Source organism: Homo sapiens, chromosome 22 (assembly GCF_000001405.40).
Source record: "Homo sapiens chromosome 22, GRCh38.p14 Primary Assembly".
In the NCBI taxonomy this organism is placed as follows: domain Eukaryota; kingdom Metazoa; phylum Chordata; class Mammalia; order Primates; family Hominidae; genus Homo; species Homo sapiens.
Genome location: NC_000022.11, coordinates 24,540,438 through 24,564,525, shown reverse-complemented (window position 1 = coordinate 24,564,525; position 24,088 = coordinate 24,540,438). Strand labels below are relative to the sequence as shown.

Here is a 24,088-nt window from a genome sequence, read left to right as displayed (position 1 = left end):
GCACACATGCCTGCTAGAGCTTGCTAATAAGCCTGACCTGTGTTTGTATCACAAGCCCAAGGCAGCAACTTTTGAGTGAACCAGATCCTAATCAACTCCAGGCAGGAACACCCAGTTTAATCAACTTTCCTCAACAGCCACAATGAAACACATATGGTATAAGCCAGGTACCCAACTGAAATGACATCCTGAGGGGGAGAGAGAGAATCTTTGTAGCACAAAGTGGTGGGACTTTCTTAGATACCTGGGGCCAAGATGGAGAAAGCTAGCTCCAGGACTGTGAAGGTGTGTTGGGGTGTCTCAGGCCTGTCAATACACCAGAAATGCATTCTTTAGGACAATTTCACACATACACAAAGGCAGAGGTGCTTGGATGCCACTGCTATAATACGAATACCAACTAAGGCCATCTACCTATCTTTGTTCTTAGGAAATACAAAAGTATTATGGGGTAGAGGAGCATGATGAATGCAATCCACACACAAACAGTACAGGAAAAAAAAAGTATACGATAAGTTTAAAAAACTGGTTTTCCTTCAACCTAGAGGGCTAGGTGTCTAAAGAAATTCAATTACATTGAATTCAGAGATTTCAAAAACTTTCCTAGCAATAGTTATGGGCAATTTTCTGACCCAATCATGTGAGAGCTTCTTTTGGGTTCTCATTTTTATACAGTGACACAAGACCATATTCCATACAGAGACCAGTTTTCCAAAGATGGCTATTATATGCCAAAGCCAACAAAACAGATTTCAAACAGTCCCATCAGTGATTGGGTGGTCATGTTGAAGCCCCAAAAGCACAATGTCTGCTTGTGCAGAGCTCTACACCACATTCTCCCACCAAAACTTCTAAGAATTAAGTCATTTTGAATGTAGTGAAATGGGTTTGACCATTACTCTCTGTATTTGCTTGTATCATTTATAATTTGGGTCCATTTTTATAAAACTGGGGACATATTTTGGAGTATTGTTATTTTTCTCACTTATGCCAACAGCATTTTGACCAACATGCCATATCCTGCAGCTGATGCCCTATCCTGCAGCACTGGCCACCAGTGCTTGGCTTGCAGCTGTCGGAATGAGAAGGAGAACAAAAGCTCCCTGCCTTCCCAGCTTAACCTCAGATGCACACCCTCTGACCCGATAAGCACCATTTCAGGGACCTCATCCTGAGTTTCACATACACATATTTCCTCTTCTTCCTTTAAAAAAAAAAATATATATATATATACACACACACACACATATATATACATACATATATACATACATACACACATACACACACACACACACACACACACACACACACACACATATATGAGACAGGGTCTCACTGTGTTGCCCAGGGTGGTCCCAAACTCTTGGGATCAAGTGATCCCCCTGGCCCAGCCTCCCAAAGTGCTGGGATTACAGGCATGAGCCAATGTGCCTGGCCATATTTTGCATTTTCAAATGTCAAAAACAGTGCTAAGATAACAGGATACTTTAAAACTACTTGAGGGACCATAAAAGGGTATTTTGTATGGGGATGTTGTCGAGGATATCATCTAATAGTGTCTCCTGTATCTGAGTGCCAGGGAAATCCACACAATTGCTATTTTAACTTAAGAACACTATGCATTTTGGAACTGATGATCTTCCCTGCTTAATCTTACACTGGAATATACCTTTATTCAATGTACAGAGAGATTCAGGTTTACATTTCTGGATACTGACTGCTTGGCTTCATTTTACATTCTACCCCAGCTTACCTGCACCATGATCTATGCATCTACTTTTATCCTGCCATAGAATTTTTTTAATTTTAGAGATAGGGTCTTGCTCTGTCACCCAGGCTGGAGTGCAGTGGTGCGACCAGAGCTTAATGCAGCCTGAACTGCTGGGTGGGCTCAAGTGATCCTTTTTGCCTCAGCCTATGGAGTAGCTGGGACTACAGGCATAAGCCATCACATCCAGATAATATATTTTTTATTTTTGGAGATGGAGTCTTGCTCTGTCGCCCAGGCTGGAGTGCAGTGGCGCGATCTTGGCTCATTGCAAGCTCTGCCTCCTGGGTTCACGCCATTCTCCTGCCTCAGCCTCCCGAGTAGCTGGGACTACAGGCGCCCGCCACCACACCTGGCTAATTTTTTGTATTTTTTTTAGTAGAGACAGGGTTTCACCGTGTTAGCCAGGCTGGTCTCAATCTCCTGACCTCGTGATCTGCCCGCCTCAGCCTCCCAAAGTGCTGGGATTACAGGCGTGAGCCACAGTGCCCAGCCCCACATCCAGATAATTTTTAAACTTTTTTGCTTTTCAGAAGAGACAGGGTCTAACTATTTCTGAAAGAGGATAGAATAAAAAGTAAATACTAAAACCCCAAAACAGGGCAGGTGTGGCTTAGGCCTGTAATTCCAATACTTTGGGAGGCCAAGGTGGGAGGATCGCTTAAGTCCAGGAGTGCAAGACTAGCCTGGGCAACAGAGTGAGATCCTCTATTTATCTTTTCCGAATCGTTGTGGTGTGCTTTTGTGTGTGTGTGAGACTAGGTCTCACTCCGTCGCCCAGGCTGGAGTGCAGTGGCACTCCATAGCTCACTGCAGCCTTGACTTCCTGGGCTCAAGTAATCGTCCCAACTCAGCCTCCACCTGAATGGCTGGGACTACAGGCATGTGCCACCACATCCGTCTATTTTATTTTTTTTACAGACAAAGTCTTGTCATGTTGCCCAGGTTGGTCTTGAACCCCTGGGCTCAAGTGATCCTCCTGCCTCAGCCTCTCAAAGTGTTGGGATTATAGGAGTAGCCACCACATTTTGTCCCACCCCACTTTTATAACAGAAAATGTTATTGAACAAGCAAGGAAAAGTGCTAAGAGGATGTTCTCATTCCCAAAAGGCAGAATGACTGGATCTGGGAAGGACAGGCAAGCCTCACAGCCTGAGATGTGCTGAACAAACTAAACTGTGCTCAGAGTTCACCCACCACCAGCTTTAGCTACGCCACAGTCTGCTGGCTCTTATTCAATGTGCCTAGGTTTTGATAGACCCAGTGAGGCCTCTACATCCTGTTACAGGCTAAATTGTATCCCTCAAAAAAATTCATTGTTGAAGTCCTAATACCCAGCACCTCAGAATGTGATCATATTTAGAGACAAAAAATCTTTACAGGCCAGATGTGGTGGCTCATGCCTGTAATTCCAGGAGTTTGAGAGACTGAGGCAGCAGGATCACTTGTGGCCAGGAGTTTGAAACTGGCCTGAAAAACATATCAAGACTCCGTCTCTACAAAAAAATTTAAAAATTAGCCAGGTATGGTGGGGCACACTGGTAGTCCTGGATACTTAGAAGACTGAGGTGAAAAGATCTCTTGAGCCCAGAAGTCCAAGGCTGCCCATGAGCTATGATCAAACCACTGCACCCCAGCCTGGTCAACAGACCAAAGCTTAATCTCAAAAAAAAAAAAAAAAAAAAAAAAAGAAAAGAAAAAGGAAAAGAAAAAAAAGGCTGGGTGCAGTGGCTCATGCCTGTAATCCTAGCACTTTGGGAGGCCAAGGTGGGCAGATTGCCTCAGCTCAGGAGTTAGAGACCAGCCTGGGCAACATGATGAGCCTCCATCTCTATTAAAAATACAAAAAATATTAACATTAGTGGGGTACGGTGGCCCATGCCTATAACCCCAGCTACTCAGGAGGCTGAGGCAAGAGAGTTGCTTAAACCCGGGAAGACGGAGGTTTGCAGTGAGCTGAGATTGTGCCACTGTACTCCAGCCTGGACAACAGAGCAAGATTCTGTCTCAAAAAAAAAAAAAAAAAAAAAAAAAAAAAAGGCCAGGTGCAGTGGCTCACGCCTGTAATCCTAGCACTTGGGAGGCTGAGGCAAACTCAGGAGTTTGAGACCAGCCTGGGCAACATGGGGAAACCCTATCTCTACTAAAAATACGAAAAACTAGCTGGGCATAGTCCCAGCTACTCAGGAGGCTGAGGCATGAGAAGTGCTTGAACCCAGGAGGCAGAGGTTGCAGTGAGCTGAGATCATGCCACTGCACTCCAGCCTGGGCGACAGAGTGAGACTCTCAAAAAAAAAAAAAAAAAAAAAAAAAAAAAAAAAAAAAAGCAAGCAAGCTGGGCATGGTGGCTCACATCTGTAATCCCAGCACTTTGGGAGGTCGAGGCGAGCAGATCACAAGGTCAGGAGTTCGAGACCAGCCTGGCCAATATGGTGAAACCTGTCTCTACTAAAAATATAAAAATACAAAAATTAGCTGGGCATGGTGGCAGATGCCTGTAGTCCCAGCTACTCAGGAGGCTGAGGCAGGAGAATCGCTTGAACCTGGAAGGCAGAGGTTGCAGTGAGCCAAGATCGCGCCACTGCACTCCAGCCTGGGTGACAGAGCAAGACTGCAGCCTGGGTGACAGAGCAAGGCTCCATCTCAAAAAAAAAAAAAAAAAAATTCTTTATAAACATAATTATGTTAAGATGAAGTCATTAGAGTGGGCCCTAATCCTACATGCATGGTATCCTTATAAGAAGAATCTGGACAGAAACACTACAGAGGGAAGACCAAGTGAAGACACAGGAAGAGAGCCATATATAAGCAAGGAGAGAGGCCTGAAACAGATCCTTCCTTCACATTCCTCAGAAGAAACCAGCCTTGCCAACACCTTGATCTCAGACTTCCAGCCTTCAGAACTATGAGAAAATAAATTTGTGTTGTCTAAGCTGCCCAGTCTGTGAAACTTTGTTATGGTAGCACTAGCATACAAATACAAGCAGGGAGGCAGGTGGCTGTCCCCCACCATTGGTCAGGCATGGTTCCTTCTGAGGCCAAGGTGCTATTTTTATCCCTGATTTAGAGGAGGGACCAGAGGATGAAGGAGGTCCAAAGCTAAGCTCGCCCCAAGTCACCCTAGGGGGCAGGCTACAAGCTGATTCCAGGTCTGTCGGACACCAAGGTCTGTGCACTTTGTGTCATGTTGACTGCATCTCTGAATGGCTACCAAGGTTATCTGGTTAGACACCTTCACGTTACGGATGGGATGACAAAGGCCCTGGAAACCCAGCAAGTTGTCCAAATACATACAGCTAATTGAACAAACCCATTAAGCTTCACTAACCCAAGTCTTGCATTCTCCTCACCAAATTAAAGAACCTTAAAGTGGATGAGCATGCCTTAAGCCAGAGGACTGGATATATGAGAGATGATAAACTTATCTACCCTCAATAGATAAACTGATCTATTGACAGTAATGCAATAAACCTGAGTCACCAGAGGTCTACTTCTCTGCATTCAGGGAACTGACCAAGCTTGTCAACCTCGCAGGAAGATGACAGACGCTCAAAGCTACAGAAAAATCACAAATAAATGAACCCTGCAAACCAATGGATGGTCAGGATGCCTGACCGCGGTGTAAGGTGCTTTACCTCTCTGACCTTCTCATCTGGAAAAAAGCAATAGGTATCATATGTTGAACACTCACAGTATGTGAGGCACTGAGCAGCTATGGCACACATACAGCTCATCTGATCTTTGTAAAAGTCCTGGGGGTGTGGATATTACCCCTGTGGCAGTCTTAAGGGTGTGCTGCTCACATCTCCCTTCAAAAGAGAACAGGCTATGAGGAGTGCAGGCAGCCGACAATCTCCATCTTTGCAGTCCACCATGGCATTCAACTTGAGGCTACTCTCTCCCCATGTTGCCAGCCTGAACACACCGGGGGTGCCAGTCCGCCCATTTCTGCCCCATGCTAGACTCTTCTAACGAGCAATCGCTGCCTTGCTGAGATTTCCTCAAAACTACGCTGTAGTCTAAGGCTCTTCCTGCTCAATCCTCCTTCCTTTCCCCTCTCATTTCACCAGTCAGACCAGCACCATAGACTGAAAATTTCCCTGCCTACTACTGCTTCCTTGCTCTTTTATCCTTTATTGTCATTTCCCCCAATAAATACCTTGCAAAATTCTGTCTTGGCATCTACATCAAAGAACCCAACATAATACCACCCCCATTTTACAGATGAGAAAACTGAGTGGTTAATACATCTAAAGTCATATAATTAGGATTCAAACCCACATCTCTCTCTGACTCCCAAGTCCAAGTTCTTAACCAGTGGTTTAAAGAACAAAGAAAGTGTGAAGATACAACTGAAAAACAATGCTATAAAAATTCAGATGACTATGCAAAAGGCAAAGTTGTGCCATGAGAAGGACACCATATCAGGAAACTACTCCATTATTTATCATCAGAGTGATGAGCCCTTTAATCTCATTCTCCCTATTTTATGGATGACAAGACTATCACCAAACCTGCTTACCTCACAAGGTAGTTGCAATAATCAAATGAGACTCCTCCTCCAAGAGAAAAGGGAAACAAATACAGTAGGTGAGAAGATTCTGCTAATCGCAAAGCAAGTGGAGGCAAATGGATAATGGCCCTGAATCTGAAGGATTCTACTGAAGGAAGTAGCACTTCTCCCAAATAGACCCCCATATTTGGGGATGGAAAAAACAAAAAGGACAAAGTAAAATATTCCAAACCTCCAAATGGCTTTTCTGCCTCAAGATTATGTGTCTCGTTCATGCCCACACCCCCAGAGCCTATAACAGCACCTGACTGGTATGCATTAGGCACTTAGGAAATCACTGCTGAATGAGAACAATTTCCAGAGACCCTCAACACACACTTTTCTGTCCTTCAAGACACAGGGCCATTCCTCCCACACAGCCTCACATGCAAAGCAGAATACCTGGCAGTTCATGTTGTCCTCTGCTTCAATGAGCTTCCCCCGATATACCTCACCGGTGTTCGTCTCACATGTCACAATGTGGCCCTCGGCCTCATGCAGTACTTTAATCGGCACACCAATAGACATCTTGGCAGGAAGAGAGTTCTACAATGAGAGAGACAACAGTCAGTTCATCTTTCAGAGTCTGAAAAGGCATGTGGCACACATCATGCTTCCTTTAAGGCCTGGCACTCCATAAAACTTAGCAAAAACACCAAAGCTGCATTTTCTACCAAGGAAAAAAAAAAAAGCTCAGCTCCTGGTTTGGAGGAAACTATCTGGCAAATATGTGCAAGATGTGGGGTGAGGAGGAATGATGGGATGGACAGAAGTAAAACTAGGAATGAAAAGAGAGCATCTCCCATGGGTCATGTGTCCCCGCTACCCTATGTCCCTTAATCTTCAGCTAAAGGACCATTAGCCAATACTGTGTGTGTCAGGGGAGGGGGACTGGAATGTTAATTTGTTGCACTGTTATTTGTTAACCCTTAATTGTAGATGATTACGTTTTGAGAATAATACAGGCCCGAGCTGTCCAATACAGCAGCTCATGTACACACGTAGCTATTTAAATTAAACTTAACTAAAACACAATAGAATTAAAATAAAAAAACCCAGTCCCTCAATCCCAGTGGCCATATTCCAAGTCCTCAACGGCCACATGTAGCTAGTGGCTACCCTATGGAAGGTGCAGATACAGACCAAAGGACCATGCACATCTAGGAGAGCAGGCTGTACTTTTAATTCAGCCCTTTAACCCTTCACTTATTTTACTATCAAGGATATTGAGAAAATATCAAAGTGACAACGTGCTATATGCAGGAAATGCTTGTCATGGAGGAAAATCAGGGAAAGCACCTGACTTGACCTAATCAAAAGCATCAAGCAGTGAACTTTTTATTGAGATGAGCAACAACTCTAAGTTTCAACTTAAGCGTACCTAAGACAGGAGAACATGAGGTTGAAAGGACAGGCTCCTTTGGTGAGGATCCCTGGCTTTCAGCCTTAGGAGTCTAGATTTTATGCTGAAGGTAGTGGAGAACCACTGCAGAATTATATGTAAAGAATGACGCAATGAAAAGATAGCAGCATTTATTTACAAAATGGATAGAACGTAAGGTTTAGAAGCAGAGAAACTTGTTAAAACTTCTGCAACAGTTAAAACTGCTGCAACAGTGTGGAAAGCATGAGGGGACCATTGCCTGAAAGGGGACTGGGGCAGAGATACAAAGAACTTTTTAAAAAATGACCGGCTGGGCGCGGTGGCTCACGCCTGTAATCCCAGCACTTTGGAAGGCCGAGGCCGGTGGATCCCTTGAGCCCAGGAGTTCGAGACCAGCCAGGGCAACATGGTGAAACCCCGTCTCTACTTAAAAAAAAAAAAACAAAAAAAAACTCATAGGATTTGGGGGAAGGAGATAGTCAATCAGAAATGACTTCGAGATTACTGCCTGGAAGCTTTGAAAAACACTCACCTGGAGAGATACAGAATGTGAGAAGCATGCACGTTGAGGGGAAAGCTAATGAACTTACTTCCAGGAGCTAGTGAGGCGACGCTGATGTTTGGGTGGCCCAAGCTTCCCGCTTTCTTCCCTCCCCGAGCCCCGCAGAGTTCCATGCAGCAAGTCTTTCTCCAGCCCCTGGCCCCTCACAGGCGCCTCGACCTCCCCTCGCCCGTCCCCAGCCTCACCGGCTCTGGCCTACTTTTCTTCTCTTCGGTCCGCTGCGAAAGATGCTACGGCGAAGGCGTGAGTCAAGCGAATGGCGGGCCTAACACCCAGAATTCCACTCTTTCCCAAAATGCTGCGCGCAGGGCCCGCCTCCTTCCTTTCCCCAGTGTTGAGCGCGGTCTCGCCTCCGCTTCCTCCTCACTCCGCCTGCCGGCTGGGAAACTAGGGCACCAGTACGATAGTTCCGGCACCGGAAAAGAGGGCTGATGACTGGGCCCGGGGGCCGCCGCAACGACCCTTGGGGCCGGCAAAGAGCCAGAGAGGGTGCTCACACTTCCAAGCACCCCACACCAAGGACAGGCTGGACGGCAAGGCGGAGACGCGGGGCTTGGGCCCTCAGACCGGGGACAGCAGGAGGTTGGGCCAAGGGCCAGGACTTCCCGTCACAATTTCATTTGTTGATCCCGGCACCGCCAGGTAAGGGGGGCCCTGAGTGAGGCTAGGTATCTGGTACGGATAAAGTTAGGTATAGAGTAGAGCGGCTGCCCGCTCAGGGTTATCCCTAAAGACAGTTGGAGGAGAGTTGCTTGGGGCCTCGGGGATGCACTGGGCGGGATCAGGGCTTACACCTAGGACTGGCAAAAGAGCGGGACCCGGCAGAGGCGGGGCTTGCCGAAGGGACGAGCCTCTATTCAGGAAATGCACGAGCTTTGGGGCGGGGCTCAAAGAAAGGGGCGGGGCTTCCGGGGCCCGCGTCCTGGTGAGCTGCGCGTCTGCGCGAGGATTGGGCGAGAGGGTGGGGCCACTCAACGCTGAGGCGGCGAATGGCCGGAGCAGACTTAAATCAAGAGGCTGGGGACCTCTAAGATCAAAGTTTGGGGCGGGGCCTAAGGAGGGGGCGGGGCCTCCAGATTCGAGACCTGGAAGGGCTGGGGCGGCGCTTGGGGCGGCCCAGCCGCCGCCTCCCGTTCTCTCCTCCGCAGCGGCGGCGGTGGCGGAGAAGGAACTCGACACGCACCGACCGCCCTCCCGCCCCAGCCGAAGCGGAAGCTGTAGCCCGCTCTGGGCCGGGGCCATGGGCGCCCCGCGCCGCCCGGGTCATGAGGACGGAGGCGGAGGCAGCGGGGCCGCCGCTCGAGCCCGGTCAGTGCCTCTCTGTGGGCCCAGTCTTCACCCTAGGAACGAAAGGGACCCCTCCCTAGCGCGGGGCAGGGTCCAGTCGCGCGACCTTGGGCCGACTCCCGCCTCGCCCCCACACCCGCCTGGTTCCAGTCAGTGGGGGTTTCCTGACACTCGCAGGATTGCGACCCTTGTCAGCATGGTGGGAAGGTCCGGGTAGCAGGGGCACCACCTTCCCCAGAAGCGAAAAGTCCTGCTGGAGCCGCCTTGGGAGCTCCCATGCCTTGGGAAACCGTGGAGGACTGAGGCTGGGAAGGGCAGGAAACTGGCCGAGAGCACCGAGCAATGGAAGGGCCAGTGCCCTGGCCTCCGAGACTCGGCGTTTTGTCTTGCTCTTGTTCTTCACTTTCGTTCTCTCTGCCACGCGGTAGCCTGAGCCCCTTTGGGGCGGAGACCCGGACTGGTATTCAATGTCTTGGCCGTTAGTTTGCTTGCCCAAGACGTAGGGGAGGGGGAAGACGTGATTCCTGTCCTGCTGAAGGCGCGGGGTTGATGACAAACGGAGTTCTAGCTAGTAAACTCTGAAGTGAAGTGCCAACTGTGGAAGAGGTCAACAGCATGTGGGACCCTGACCTTCAGGTGTCACTCCCAGGGAGTGTTCCCTTTTGTGTCTGCTGTGTGGAGTTGGTGGGGGATTTACAACCCTCCTCCTCCAGTTGTCTAGCCCTGTGGTCTGAGACAAGATACTTGCCTTTCCTGAGCCTCAGAGGAGGAATGGCTTACATTCACAGGGAGTGTTCTATGAGGCAGGCGCGCGCTGCGTGCAGTTGTTTACATGCAGTGCCTCATTAATCCTCATAACGAACCAGTGAAGTAGGTGCCCACTGTGATTTGCACTTTTGCAGCTGAGCAGACTGAGTCTGAGATGGGTTAAGTATTAAAGGCTAGTGCACTGCTTGCCTTCCTTAGTGACAGCCACTAACTGAGCTCAGGCCAGGGCCTTCCAGGCAGCCCTTTGGCTCCAGGCAGCAACGTCTGGCTGTGGCTTTGTGTTTAGAAGGCTAAAGCTGTTATGGGGACAGATGCCAAGGCCTCGCCTAACCTTATCACCCCCAACATGAGCACCTCTAGGTCCGATCCGCCCTTGCCGAGGCTGGAGATGGCCCTGTGGGGCCTGCCAGGCCTCAGGATCAAGGAGTTCTAGAGCGCAGGGCAAGAGGAGGAGGCGCAGCTGAGTCTCTGAGAGAGAGCTGCTGTCTTGTGCCACATTTTATAGCTGGACATGGAAAGGCATGGACAGTCATAGCCTGGCAGAAGATAGCCCAGCTAGTCAGTGTCACAGCCCAAGCCACAGAGTAAGGAGGGAGCCTCACACAGAGGGCTGTAGTCTGGAAGCCTGGGGGAGGAGGGGTGCAGAGCAGGGAAGTGACAAGTAGGCCTGGGCATCTCAAGGTATGAGGTCTTTTTGGAAAACGCCTTCCATTCCCCAAGCATATCTAAGTGCCTACTCTGGGCTGAGGGTTGGAAGGAGGCAAATGCAACCTCATCCCCATCTGCCACTGAAGAATTCTCATTGCCTCTTTAAGGACTCCATATTGAGGGGCCCTGAGAGTGAGAGGGATTAGAGCATGGAGACAACATTAACATTTCAGACTAAGGCTCATCAGCTATCATTAGTGATAGTGTAGTTTATGTGTGGCCCAAGACAATTCTTCCAGTGTGGCCCAGGGAAGCCAAAAGATTGGACACTCCTAGACTAAGGGATGTGCAAGAGCAAAAGCTGGGGAGGAAACAGTATGAGTAGAGAAAAACAAAAAGGCAGTGTGTGGCTGCTGTGAGGGGTTCTTGAACAGGCAGGCATTCACCGTGACAGCACAACATCCTGCATAGAGCTCTCCCACTGCTCAGCTCTTTATGAGTCCCTAGGGGTCAGGGCTTGGGTGGGTCTTTAGTTACCTTTGTGTCCCCAGAGCCTAGCAAACAGTGAGGGCTTATTTTATTTTTAATTATCTGGGTGTGGTAGCGTGTGCCCATAGTTCCAGCTGCTCAGGAGGCTAAGGTCAGAGGATCCCTTGAGCCTGGGAGTTCAGGGCTGCAGTGAGCTCTGGTCACACCACTGCACTCCAGCCTGGGCGACAGAGTGAGACCCTGTTTCAGAAGAAAACAAAAAGTTCTTTTTTTTCCTTTTCCTTTTTTTTTTTTTGAGATGGAGTCTCACTCTGTCGCCCAGGCTGTAGTGCAGTGGCGTAATTTTGGCTCACTGCAACCTCCGCCTCCCAGGTTCAAGCAATCCTCCTGCCTCAGCCTCCCGAGTAGCTGGGATAAGAGGCTCTGGCCCCTGCCCGGCTAATGTTTGTATTTTTAGTAGAGACAGGGTTTCACCATGTTGGCCAGGCTGGTCTCAAACTTCTGACCTCAAGTGATCCGCCTGCCTTGGCCTCCCAAAGTGCTTGGATTACAGGCGTGAGCCACTGTGCACGGCCTAAAAAAAGTTTATTTCTTCCAGCAAATATTTATTGAGTTACTATTAAACATTCAACACCAGCAACTGAGAATAACAGTGAACAAGATCAGCAAGTTTCCTGCTGTCTCAGTTCATTTGTGCTTCTATAACAAAATACCTGGGACTGGGTAATTTAGAAACAATAGAAATTTAATTTCTTTTTTTCTTTTTTGGAGATGGAGGTCTCACTATTTTGCTCGAACTGGTCTGAAACTCCTTGGCTCCTCTTGCCTTGGCCTCGTGAGTAGTTGGGATTACAGGTGTGTGCCACTGTGCCCAGCTCTAGAAATTTAATTCTTCACAGTTCTGGAGACTCTGAGGTCCAAGATCAAGGCGCTGGCAGGTTCTGTGTCTGGTAAAGGCCTGTTCCTTGTAGATGGTGCCACCTACGTGTCCTCACATGGTGGAAGGAACAGAAAGGGCATGAACACTGCTTTTACATGACAGAAGAACAGAAGGGCAAAAAAAATGGCCTATGCTAGTTTCCTCCAGCCCTTTTATAAGGCACTAGTTCACTGATGAGGGCAGAGCCCTCCTGACTTCACAAAAGGCCACACTTCTTATTTATTTATATTTTTGGTTGTGGATATCTTCTGCACCCATTTCTTCATACCACCACAATGGAGATTAAGTTTCAACATAAATTTTGGAGAGGATACCATAGCACCTGCCTTCAGGAAGCTTGCCGTCTCAAGAGAGTGGCTTGATGCTATTGTTACTTTTGCCAAGCACTGTGAAGGAAACGAATAGGATGCTGTGAAGGAGAGTTCCCTCGTTTCTCAAAGGCTTAGTCAGAAAAACCTCTAAGAAGAGATTTTGAGCTGGGACCTGAATGACTAGAAGGGACACAACCTTGAGAACAGCAGCCGGGAGAGAGTTTCAGACAGAGGGATCCTCACGTGCAGATGCCTTGGGGTAGAATGAAGCCTTGATGAGTTCACAGGTTAACTAGACCACAGGTGAGGGCAGCCAAGATGAGGCTGGCGGGCCAGGTTAGGCAGGGCCCCGGTAAGGGATGAGAACCTTATTCCAAGAGCAGTGGGAAACTGAATGGGAATCCCTACGGCTGCTGTATGTAGAGGTGGGAGAGGTGCTGGGAGTGGAATTTGGGGCAGGGACAGGCAGGGGTCAGTGCCACTGAATCCTTGGCAGTGATAGCAGGGGAACATGTGAGCGCCTTGAGTGAACGGCCTGGGTATCTTTTGGAGGCATCTGGGTTAAGAGGAAGGAAGAGAATGAGGCCTCAGTCCAGCCTGGGCTTAGCATACCAGGCCCCAGCTGGGGGCAGGTTCACATTATTAGCACCTGCAAAGGGCTTTATAGACGTTCTTGTCCTTAGGGTTCACATCACCCTGCAGGCTGGCGTCTGGTAGTCCATTTCACAGAGGAAGAAGCAGGCACAGAGAGGCCAGGCAACTTAGCTAGCAGGTGGCCTGCTTTGCTCATGCCATTGTGCCTTCCATGGGCCCTGCTGCACATGGAGTAGAAAGACACCAGGAGCAGTGATAGGTCCCTGCCTCTTGGGAACGTATAAGCAACACAGGAGGGCACAGACAAGCTCAATGCAAGGGCCGCATCCTAGGAGGCAAAGTGTGAACTCAAGCCCAGAGAAGTACAGATGAGTGAAAGGGTGTAGCCAGTCTGTGATCAGGGAAGGCCCTGGAAATGGCCTCTGAGCCAGGCCTTGAAGGCTGGGGAAGGTCAGACATAGGAAGGGAGGAACTTGGGATTCAAAGCCTGGTAGGTTGGAAAGGCCAGGACAGATCCCAGGACTAGTGAGTGGCCGTCTTAGCTGGCGCACACAGGGAAGTGAGGGGAACTGGGGCTGGCACAGCAGGAGGGCTCCTGGGGTGGCTCTACACAGAGCTGGTCACACAGTCCAGGAGAGACCTGCCAGATGGGGAAACAATGTGGGCAAGGTTTTCACGTGCTGAATGAGTGTCATGAGTGAGTAACAGCAGAGATAAGTCTCTTCCTCTTTAGACTCTGAACTTTGTCCAGGTTCATGAGGTGGCTACGGAGGAGGGTCCTGCATGCCACAAGCCCATTTGCCCCACCTCAGGGCCTTAGCACATGCTGTTCCCCCATCCCCTCTAAGGCACACCCCCACTGTTTTCCCCAGCCTAGGCCTCTATTTTGCTATGTTTGCTTATTTTTGCTATCCACCAGGAGAGTGACTTTGTGTCATTCACTGCTGTATCTCCAGTACACACACCAGGCACTTACTAGGCTTTTGGGAAATATTTGTTGACTGAATGACTGAATCAGACCAAAGTCCCCCTGTTTAGGGATGGCCAGACTCATTCCAGCAAGAGGAAGTCAGCTGCCCAGCCCACAGCCAGCCAGCAGTGGCACAGTTGAGACTGGAACGCTAGGTCAGGCCCTTTCTGCTCCACCTCACAGCCTGGCAAAGACAGACCGAGAGGTCGCCCAGGGTTGGTGGGGGATGGAGCTCACAAGAATATTACATATGCTTCATAGCTTACGTGACAGTTCCCTTCTCCTGGCCATGGTCTCACACCCTGGTGGTCCTGGGGTCTTTGGAGTCAAGCAAACCTCCAGGGGCCTCATGAACTCAGATACATTATCTGCTGAGTGCCTCCCATGTGCCAGCCCTGGAATGAAAGCAGGAAACAAAACAGCCCCTGCTGGCCAGGCGGAATGGCTCACGCCTGTAATCCCAGCACTTTGGGAGGCTGAGGTGGATCACCTGAGGTCAGGAGTTCGAGACCAGCCATGGAACCATGGACAACATGGTGAAACCCCATCTCTACTAAAATTACAATAATTAGCTGGGCATGGTGGCGCACGCCTGTGGACTACAGGCTGCTTGGGTGGCTGAGGCAGGAGAATTACTTGCCACCCGGGAATCGCAGGTTGCAGTGAGCCGAGATCATGCCACTGCACTCCAGCCTGTGCGACAGAGCAAGACCCTGTTGAAAAAAAAGAAAAAGACTCTGTCCCTCCTCCTCAGAGCTCCCACCAAAAGAAGGGCTTTGAGTAGGCATGGTGGGAAGTGAATGCACATGTGGGTCACTGGGCCTGAGAGGGGCAATACTGGAGAAGTGACATCCAAGGGCAGGAGTTAGCTCAGGCACCTGGGAAGCCAGGTATGTCCAGGCAGAGGAACCAGGTGTGCAAAGACCTCCAGGGTGTGAGGGATTATGACAAGCAAAGGCAAGGGTGCAGAGGGTGCTAGGGCAGCAGCCATGGAGGTATTGTCTTAAGGAATGTGGGACCCAGCTCACTGGAGGATTTTCAGTTGGGCTGACCTGCTCTGGCCGGTGTTTTGGGGAGATCACTGCTATTATAGGAGCCTGGATTTGAGGGGATTCCTGAAGGATTGTGGGAAGGTCCCTGAGCAGCCCCTGCAGGGTCTAGGCAGGAGGCAGTGACACTGGCTCCCATGAGGGTGGGAGTGGTGGGCTCTGCGCTGAGGGTCTGTGACCTCCCTCTGTTTCTGCACAGGGGACTTTGTGCAACTGCCTGTGCCCGTCATCCAGCAGCTCTACCACTGGGACTGTGGCCTGGCCTGCTCCAGGATGGTGCTGCGGTGAGTGGGGCCAGGGCTGGGGGCCCAGGTGCTTCCCATCTACATCTTCTGCTCTGGCTTGGGAGAGACCTGGGTGGGATCCATGGTCCATGTAGCTATCTTTGGTTGGGGCTTGCAGGAGGCCAAGCTTCTACCTGGTCCTAGTCCCATCTGCAAAAGTGAGCAAGGGGTGGACCAGGCCTTCCAGCTCTCCATGATAGTAATGTCTGGGGGCTTGGGGTGGCCAGGAAGTCCCAGGTGCCCAGGCCTGTCCTACAAGGCAGTTCTGTGACTGGGATAGGAGGCCCTCCACTCCCCAGTTTCTGGCTCCTGGGAGAATGGGGTGCTGACCGTTAAGCTGAGGCTGTGTGAATATCACAGAAACCTGGACAGTGAGAGCCAAGAGGGACTGTAGCCGTCACCTTGTACAAGAGTTTTTCATTTGGCTTCCTGGAACCACAGGGCAGCTGCATCTTCATCTGTTTTACATCCTGGGAATCTCAGCAAGAGAAAATTCAACAAAAGCGTTCTTTGCCTAAAACTTTGAAAACCACTGATGTGATCAGGGACCTTATTTTAGAGATGAAGCTAAAGAGGCCAGAGAAGACAATGACTTGCTCAAGGTCACAGCCCACAAGACACAATAGATTTGAGAAGCAGAGTCCAGGCCTGCAACTCTGGAGCCAGGACGGTGCCCCAAGCAGCCTGGGCAGTGTGTGGGCAGGACCTAGGGTCTCATGATGAAGGAGGGAGACTTCTGGGGAATGGGACCTGTGACGGGGCTCTTGGGCCAGTGGGTGGAGGGTGACTCAGACCAGTTGACCCTCAAGACCAAGCTGAGCTCCCCAGCTCGTCTACCTGCAGGTACCTGGGCCAGCTGGACGACAGTGAGTTTGAGAGAGCCCTGCAGAAGCTGCAGCTGACCAGGAGCATCTGGACCATCGACCTGGCCTACCTGATGCACCACTTTGGCGTGAGGCACCGCTTCTGTACCCAGACCCTGGGTGTCGACAAGGGCTACAAGAACCAGGTGAGCGACCAGCCACCAGGCCTTCCCATGTGGGGCCACACAGAGGTATAAGGCCACCTGGTTCCAGTAGTTGGAAGAGGGAACAGTCAAGGGCTAGACACCCAGGTAGATACCCAGGTGTGCAGAGACCAGGGAGCAGCAGCAGAGAGGCTATAGGCAGGATTTGGGAGCCAGTCAGAGCAGGTGCCCTTGCAGTCGGGCCTGCCCAGAGGATCTGAGTACTGAGTCCTGGCTCCTGTCCACCTGCCTTCTACAGCCCTCAGAATGTGCAGAGGCCACTTCCTACGTTCTTTCCTACTGTCCTCAGCACAAGGCAGGCCCAGGGCCTCTGAGAACATCACTGACCTCATCCGGCCATCATTTGCACATTTTTTTACTTTTCACCAGGAGAGCCAGCTTTTAAGCTATATAATTGGTAGTCTAGAAGAAAACCAAAATACCATCTTTTCTTTTTTTTGCCTTTTGAAAAATAATGCCAACATAGCCATGCCAGCAAAGTGTGTTCCGTGGACGACACCTAGCTAAGCCAAGCTGTAGCTGAGCTGTCCCAGGTGGTTCAGCCTCATCCCCCTTGCTTATTCGCTACGGGCTCCTGCTCATGCCTGCCAGAGTGTACAAGCCCAAGGGTGATCGATCCTCCCCAGAGAGCTGACCTGAGCCCAGCTGCCCACCCCTCTCTCAAGCATCATCCTCATGCCTCTGTGTGGTCCTGCTTCCCTGCTCCTGCTTAGGACAGACAGCTTTCTGATCTGGCTTGCTGCATGTACCGTCTGCCCTGGCAGGTGGGGCTCCTCTGCCCTCCTGCTGTCTCTGCCTCTGTAACACGCTCTTTATTTCCTTCATCTAAATGGAGTGAAGGCAGCCTGGGTGGTGGCCACTCCATCCCCCTCTTCTCTGTTCAGTCCTTCTACAGGAAGCACTTTGACACAGAAGAGACCCGGGTGAATCAGCTGTTTGCACAAGCAAAGGCCTGCAAGGTGCTGGTGGAGAAATGGTGAGCCCCCCAACTTTCCTACCTGCCCTTCCTCTCATGCCTGCTCACCCACAGATCTGCAGTGGGGAGGCCTCGGGATGGTGTTCAGGAAAGGCTAGGACTCTGGAGCCAGGCAGAACTGGCTACCCGGGTGGCTGTGGGCACTGACTTGCCCCCTTGAGCCTTGGTTTATGGAGCTCACTGGGGCTACATGACCCAGGCTCTGACCAGGGGTGGATCCTGAGCAGGTGCTGGAGGGATAGGTGAGTGAGAGAGATTGCACCCAGCCCTTGGGCTACTTGCAGAAAGACAGCATGGGACAGAACACAAGGCCCCTAATGAAAGGGCGATGGCCTAAGAGGAATGTGCTGGTGCAGTGATTGACAAGGGATGGGGAACAGGGAGGACCCAGTGTGTAAGGGCTGCTGTGACCTTACAAGGGCCTCCTCTTCTCATCTGTATGCATTGGGGCTGGATTCAGGAAGACTCTGGGTGCAGTTTGCCCAGATGTGGGTCACATTCTTTTCTGGGCTACGTGGGAGTGGGGCTCAGACCTGCTGCCTCTAGGTCCTGGACAGGCTCTTCTCAGATTTTCCCTTTCTTTGCGGATTTATATTTTCATTATTGACGTAGTATAATCACATGATAGGTGATTTAGAAAATGGGGGTTTGGGGGCCGGGCGCGGTGGCTCACGCCTGTAATCCCAGCACTTTGGGAGGCTGAGGTGGGCGGATCACGAGGTCAGGAGATCGAGACCATCCTGGCTAACACGGTGAAACCTTGTCTCTACTAAAAATACAAAAAATTAGTCGGGCGTGGTGGCAGGCGCCTGTAGTCCCAGCTACTCGGGAGGCTGAGGCAGGAGAATGGCCTGAACCCAGGAGGCGGAGCTTGCAGTGAGCCGAGATAGTGCCACTGCACTCCGGCCTGGGGGACAGAGCGAGACTCTGTCTGAATCTGCCCTCAAGGAAACAGAAAGGCAAATCCAGGATGTGGGACATTTTCCAAGAGTACTGCCCCGGGCTTTAAAAATCAACAAAACAGGCCGGGCACGGTGGCTCACGCTTGTAATCCCAGCACTTTGGGAGGCCGAGGCGGGCGGATCACGAGGTTAGGAGATCGAGATCATGGTGAAACCCCGTCTCTACTAAAAATACAAAAAATTAGCTGGGCGCAGTGGCGGGTGCCTGTAGTCCCAGCTACTCGGGAGGCTGAGGCAGGAGAATGGCATGAACCCAGGAGGCGGAGCTTGCAGTGAGCCGAGATCGCGCCACTGCACTCCAGCCTGGGCAACAGAGACAGACTCTGTCTCAAAAAAAAAAAGAATATAGTGGGGTGGGATCTCCATTCATACTATGACCACATGGGCACATGTTGGAAGGAAAGGCAGCAAATGTTTATTTAGCAGCCCTCAACAGGTGCTGTCTCCTTGAGTGGGAAAGCTGTTGCTATCTCTGCTTCTCGGGGGAGGAAACTGAGGAGGAGAGAGACACCCAAGGTCACCCCCAGCATCTTGGCCATGCCATGATCTGAACCCATGCTTGTTATTCCTTGAAGCCTGTAGTTTTTCCTTCCAGCCAAGCCCCTGCTTTTTCCCTATAGCTGAAATCCCACTCCTGTGCACTGCCACTGGGAACTCAGCCAGCTATTTTGTTTCAAAGACCAAATGGAAAAATGGCATGTTTCCTTGGCCAAGGCAGCAATCCAAACTGCCACGTGACTCAGCTGTGGCTGAAGCTGGGTCAGGCCACATGGTACTGATGCTGCCACTCCTAAGGAAGGCCCCAAGTGGGTGAGCAGCCCCTCCAGCAAAGATGCAGGAGCCCCTGGCCTAGAGCTCCCCCTGCCCACAGCCCCATCTGCCCTCTGTCCCTCTGGGTGTTTTCTTTTCTTTTCTTTTTTTTTTTTTTAAGAGACAGGGTCTTAATCTGTCATACAGGCTGTAGTGCTGTGGCGCAATATTGCAATACAGCTCACTGCTACAGCCCCAGGCTTAAGTGATCTTCTTGCCTCAGTCTCCCGAGTAGCTGGAACCACAATCTCATACCACCACGCCCCACGCCTGGTAAATTTTTAAATGTTTTTGTAAAGACAGGGTACTGCTGTGTTGCCCAGGCTGGTCTCTAATTCCTAGTCTCAAGCGATCCTTCCGCTTTGGCCTCCCAAAGCACTGGGATTACAGGTGTGAGCCACTGTGCCCAGCCCTGCTCTAGGTTTTCATTTGGATTTGCTGCCTAGTGGAAGGCACAGGATGGGGCAGTGCCTTCTGCCAGTGAGGGAGGCTCCAGGTAGATGTCATTGCTGAACTGGAGCTCCCCTGGAAGCAATGTGGCCCAGCCCTTCCTGGGCAGCCCCTTCTGCCACCAGGAGCCTTAGAAAAAAAGTAAAATAGCTCTTTCAGAGAAGCATTTGGTTTTGAAAGTGTCTGAGCCATGCTTGGCTGGCAGTTTTCAATGTAAACCACACATGATTTAGGGTAGAGGAGAGACAGGGCTGGGCAAAAAGAATTCACTAACCAGGCTGGGGTGCAGTAGGAGGATGGTTTCTGTGTGCTGCTCTAGTGGCCCTTGACTGGACCCACCTGGAGCTGAATGCTCTCCCCGTGAAGGGCCTGACAGAGCCAGCTCATCTTTGTGCACATTCAGACACACACACACACCCCCCCCACCGGTCTCCTGCTTGGCTCTAGGCTGAGCCTGGGCCACAGTGACAGAGCAGGGAGTTCAGGGCAAAGGGAAAAGGAGCCGATCCCCAAGCTTTGTAACAGAGAAACAGGCACAAGCAGGGATCCATTTGAGGGATGGGGAATGGGGGCCCAGCAGCACCAGCTGACCCCCCTCCCGCCCACAGCACAGTGAGTGTGAAGGACATCCAGGCGCACCTGGCTCAGGGCCATGTGGCCATCGTGCTGGTGAACTCGGGGGTGCTGCACTGTGACCTGTGCTCCAGCCCTGTCAAGTACTGCTGCTTCACCCCCAGTGGCCACCACTGCTTCTGCCGCACTCCTGACTACCAGGGCCACTTCATCGTGCTGCGTGGCTACAACCGGGCCACTGGCTGCATCTTCTACAACAACCCAGCCTATGCCGACCGTGAGTGCTGGGTGGGGTGGGTGAGGCAGAGTGGTCCACATTCACTGTTCTGTATGCCCAGTGCCCACAGTTCCCACCCATTCAATCTAGTGTGGCCAGGGCCTCCCTCCCTACCTTTTCCCCAAAGCCCCTGCTCCTCCTGGGCTCTTGTCACTGTGGCCACCCCTCAGGCCATGCAGGCAAACCTGCCGCAAACTGTGCCAGCCTCCTCTACACCCTGGCCACCCCTCCCTCTCACACCACAGGCCCCACGCCACTGCCCAGGTCCCTGCCTTACCCTTTCATGCTGCCCAGGCTGCACCCCTCCCCCAACCACCAGGATGGCCGGCACATTCCTCAGAAAGAAAAGCCCGGCCAGACCCAGCCCCTGCTCTAGACCCATCCTGGCCTGCCTACTGCCCTCCGGGCACAGGGAAGGGCTGCCCTGACTCTCATAGACTGGATTCACATAGACAGCCCCTGGACGCCCTGACCACATAGACTTACCCCGTCTATGTGGCCTGGAGCACGTTTCTGCCCCTCTCTGGGCCTTTCTCCAACTGCTTTACTGGGGAGGAGTCAGAGAAACCTCATGAAGACCAGGATGGGCAAGGAGGGCTTCCTGGGGGTGGAGGACTTGAGTTGAGAGGAATGGCCATGTGGATGGGAAACAGACCTCACTCAGCTCCCCTGGGCACTGTGTCGGTGGTGTAGGTGCTCTCTCACAACCCACTGACCCCGTTCTGCCTTCCCCACCCCCAGCAGGAATGTGCAGCACCAGCATCAGTAACTTTGAGGAGGCCAGAACCAGCTATGGCACAGATGAGGACATCCTCTTTGTCTACTTGGACAGCTGACAGCAGGAGCCTGGTGCGCCTAGGCCCTCGGACCCCATCCCCACCCCAGCCGGGCCCGCTCAGGATGCCCTGGCCCAGGCTTGGGGCTGCTGGGGTTGGAATGTGGAACTGCAGCCTCAGCCCATCTGGCAGAGTCCCAGGAACTCGGAGACTGGCACAGCTGCTTTGTCTGCCAGTGCCGTGTGTTGTCATGTCACTCACCCCAAGCACCTGCTGGCTGCTGGAAGCATACCCCAAGACCCCAAGCCTTGACTCCAGCTGCGCCCACAGGAAGTCCAGTCCCGACAGTGCCCTTGTTGCCTTTGAGCCAGATCCATGGCAATGGTCTCCCCACAGACCGCAGGACTGAGCCTGGAGAGAGAAGTTGCTTGACGGATGCCACTTGTCAGGACAGTATGTGAGTGTCTGGAGACAGCATAGCTGACCCCAATCCCCCAGGGCTGAGGACCCCTCCAGGCCCCTCTCTCCTGGAAGTGCTGCATATGCCCCTGTGCCCAGTGGTTGATGATACCACCACCACCTGCCTACCCATGGGCCCAAGTTTCTGTGGCTCATTACAGGGCATCTGACCCCTGCCACCCAGCATAGACACACCTCACAGCTGCCCTGCCATGCAGAGCCCTGGCCGCTGGAGACTCTTAAAGCCCCCACAGCCCTCCAGGTCCTCCAGCTCTGTCAGATGGAGGGCTCTCGGGCCTAGATCCCACTGGTAGGCCTCGTGGCTGGCAGCAGTGCTCTGGGAATAAACAGCTGCCCTAGCCCCAGAGGGATCCCTGCACCCAGGAGGCCTCCTGACACCAGCCAAAATCCTGACAGCAGGGTCTGCCCTCTTGAGTGTGGGGAGCCCCTAGTCCTTTAAGGTTGGCTGCTAAGGCCTGTGCTCCAAAGCAACGGGCTGGGGCAGCCTGCAGCTGCCCACCCAACCTGGTCTTCACACCAGATTGCACAGGATACTGGGTCTTGTCTATCTTGATGGAGAAGAGGGGTTCCTGCCCAGGATCTTACAACACAGCAAGTAGCATAGAGCTCTTTCCTTCCTCTTTTTTGGGGAGGTTGGGGTCAGGGGTTGTTTCTTTGAGATTTAAGTTTTCATTTTTGAGGGGTAATCACCTTCAAGTAAAACAGTAATAGCAAGAGTGAAGGTACTTTGGAACCACTAACACCTCTGCACAGGGCAGTTAGCCAGCTCAAGTTCTTTTTCAGAGAAAGGGACTTGGCCAGTGGTTTAAGTACCTGCCCCTTCACCTCTCAGACGAGGCAGCTGACGAGGCAGCTGGCCCAGTCTTGGGAGTCTGCTCAGGACAGTGGTGGAGCTGGGTCTTGAACCCCAGTCTGCACCTAAAAAACTAAAGGAAATGGATTTTTTTTTTTTTTTTTGAGACGGAGACTCACTCTGTTGCCCAGACTGGAGTGCAGTGGCACGATCTTGGCTTACTACAACCTCCGCCTCCTGGGTTCAAGCGATCCTCCTGCCTCAGCCCCCCACTAGCTGGGACTACAGGCACATGCCACCATGCCCGGCTAATTTTTTTGTATTTTTAGTAGAGACCAGGCTTCGCCATGTTGGCCAGGCTGGTCTCGAACCCCTGAGCTCAGGTGATCCACCTGCCTCGGCCTCCCAAAGTGGGAAATGGGTCATTTTCAAAGGGGCAACAGTGATACCATCCCTGCACTCCTGGGTCCTGCTCTTCCAATGCCCAAGGCATGGCATGGTGGCAGCTGTGCCCCCGCCCATTGCTTTGGAGCACAGATGACTCTGGGGGCAGAGGTGGGCTCTGTTTAGGAGGGCAGTGAGACCACCCAGCCAAATTGCTTCTCAACCCTAGACAAAGCCTTTGGCCAAGAGGGAGGTGCTGTTAGTTGGGCAGCCCTTCTGGGTTTCAGAGACCGGTGTTGGCTCTAGACTGGTCTCATCTCCATTGCCTTAATGCCAGGTGGCCCAGGAGTACCCATGCACAGCAGCTGTGGGGTGTGGGCATCTTCAGGTGGTGTTCTGGTAAAATTGTTAGAATAGCTGTATGAAGGAAACCAGTGGGAGGAAATGAAGTTTTCAGGATGGTGGGATGTGATTTAGACAGTGCACATGCTGTTAGGGCTGTCACTAGGGAGTGGCCTTCATGGAGGGTGGTAACAGCACCTCAGTCCAGCCAAAATGTTTAGAAACACTCAGTCTCTGGTCCCAGAGGATGGCTTCTCAGGGCATGCCACAAGTTAAAGGTCACCTTCCTGAAAGATGAATGAGAAAGCTGCCCATTCTCAAGACTCATCTGCCTAGGGAGGGTCACAGAGGCAGGATGTAAGACACACTGTGTTGCATTCTTGCACAAGTCATGAAAATGGAGCCAGAGAGCCTGGACATCAGGGACTTTTGCCCACAGCACATGACACCGACAGCTGCCCAGCCTGTTCACATGCTGGGGACCAGCACAGCACCTGAAGCCATGTGGGACAGTTGGGCTTTGTTCATTCTAGCCACGGGGATGAAAGGGATCTTTTGCATTGCAGAGATTTTATATATATTTTGTTTGTAATGAGCCATTCTCAATAAACATTATTCTCACTGCAAAA

General features: G+C 51.5%; 2 protein-coding genes across 13 annotated transcripts in view, besides 4 other annotated features; one reads left to right on the top strand and one right to left on the bottom strand.

Moving 5' to 3' along the window:
- SNRPD3 (small nuclear ribonucleoprotein D3 polypeptide) overlaps positions 1-8,876 on the bottom strand; it is a 19,322-nt gene extending 10,446 nt beyond the window's left edge. The window contains exons 1-2 of one of the 3 annotated variants that reach the window (NR_103819.1): positions 8,455-8,876; positions 6,726-6,869 (exon numbers count right to left, since the gene is read on the bottom strand). Coding sequence is in view for 2 of the 3 variants with exons in the window: in NM_004175.5 (NP_004166.1) it covers positions 6,726-6,851 (126 nt within the window). In the remaining variant the exon portion in view is untranslated. The remainder of the gene's footprint in view (positions 1-6,725; positions 6,870-8,454) is intronic. The other 2 variants (NM_004175.5, NM_001278656.2) reach the window with 2 other exon arrangements.
- Positions 2,112-2,613: an enhancer, noted in NCBI's record as "H3K4me1 hESC enhancer chr22:24957881-24958382 (GRCh37/hg19 assembly coordinates)". NCBI's record gives its function as "activates a minimal SCP1, AML or CMV promoter by ChIP-STARR-seq in primed H9 embryonic stem cells {active_cell/tissue: H9 hESC(primed)}" and the evidence as "EXISTENCE:reporter gene assay evidence [ECO:0000049][PMID:30033119]".
- Positions 4,948-4,997: an enhancer, noted in NCBI's record as "active region_18780". NCBI's record gives its function as "activates an Ori minimal core promoter by ATAC-STARR-seq in GM12878 lymphoblastoid cells {active_cell/tissue: GM12878}" and the evidence as "EXISTENCE:reporter gene assay evidence [ECO:0000049][PMID:35858748]".
- GUCD1 (guanylyl cyclase domain containing 1) lies at positions 8,632-24,088 on the top strand. Of its 10 annotated transcripts, none has more exons than NM_001284253.2 (6): positions 8,632-8,911; positions 15,525-15,609; positions 16,453-16,618; positions 17,521-17,612; positions 20,572-20,684; positions 21,429-24,088. In NM_001284253.2, the coding sequence occupies exons 1-6, from the start codon at positions 8,701-8,703 to the stop codon at positions 21,518-21,520; spliced, it is 759 nt and encodes a 252-aa protein (NP_001271182.1). In that variant the 5' UTR covers positions 8,632-8,700; the 3' UTR covers positions 21,521-24,088. The 10 variants fall into 10 exon arrangements, 9 of the variants coding, with proteins under 9 accessions (NP_001271182.1, NP_001271181.1, NP_001271180.1 ...); NM_001284252.2 differs by having other exon boundaries at positions 20,443-20,684; NM_001284251.2 differs by having other exon boundaries at positions 20,443-20,684; positions 21,426-24,088.
- Positions 8,720-8,819: an enhancer, noted in NCBI's record as "active region_18779". NCBI's record gives its function as "activates an Ori minimal core promoter by ATAC-STARR-seq in GM12878 lymphoblastoid cells {active_cell/tissue: GM12878}" and the evidence as "EXISTENCE:reporter gene assay evidence [ECO:0000049][PMID:35858748]".
- Positions 9,280-9,639: a silencer, noted in NCBI's record as "silent region_13554". NCBI's record gives its function as "represses an Ori minimal core promoter by ATAC-STARR-seq in GM12878 lymphoblastoid cells {active_cell/tissue: GM12878}" and the evidence as "EXISTENCE:reporter gene assay evidence [ECO:0000049][PMID:35858748]".

What these genes read in the sequence shown, in the direction of transcription:
- GUCD1 (NM_001284251.2), top strand. Translation starts at nt 8,701, where the DNA reads ATGACTGGGCCCGGGGGCCGCCGCAACGACCCTTGGGGCCGGCAAAGA. An exon ending in TGCTCCAGGATGGTGCTGCG is followed by an intron (nt 15,610 to 16,452) that starts GTGAGTGGGGCC and finishes GTCTACCTGCAG; the next exon opens with GTACCTGGGCCAGCTGGACG. An exon ending in ACAAGGGCTACAAGAACCAG is followed by an intron (nt 16,619 to 17,520) that starts GTGAGCGACCAG and finishes TTCTCTGTTCAG; the next exon opens with TCCTTCTACAGGAAGCACTT.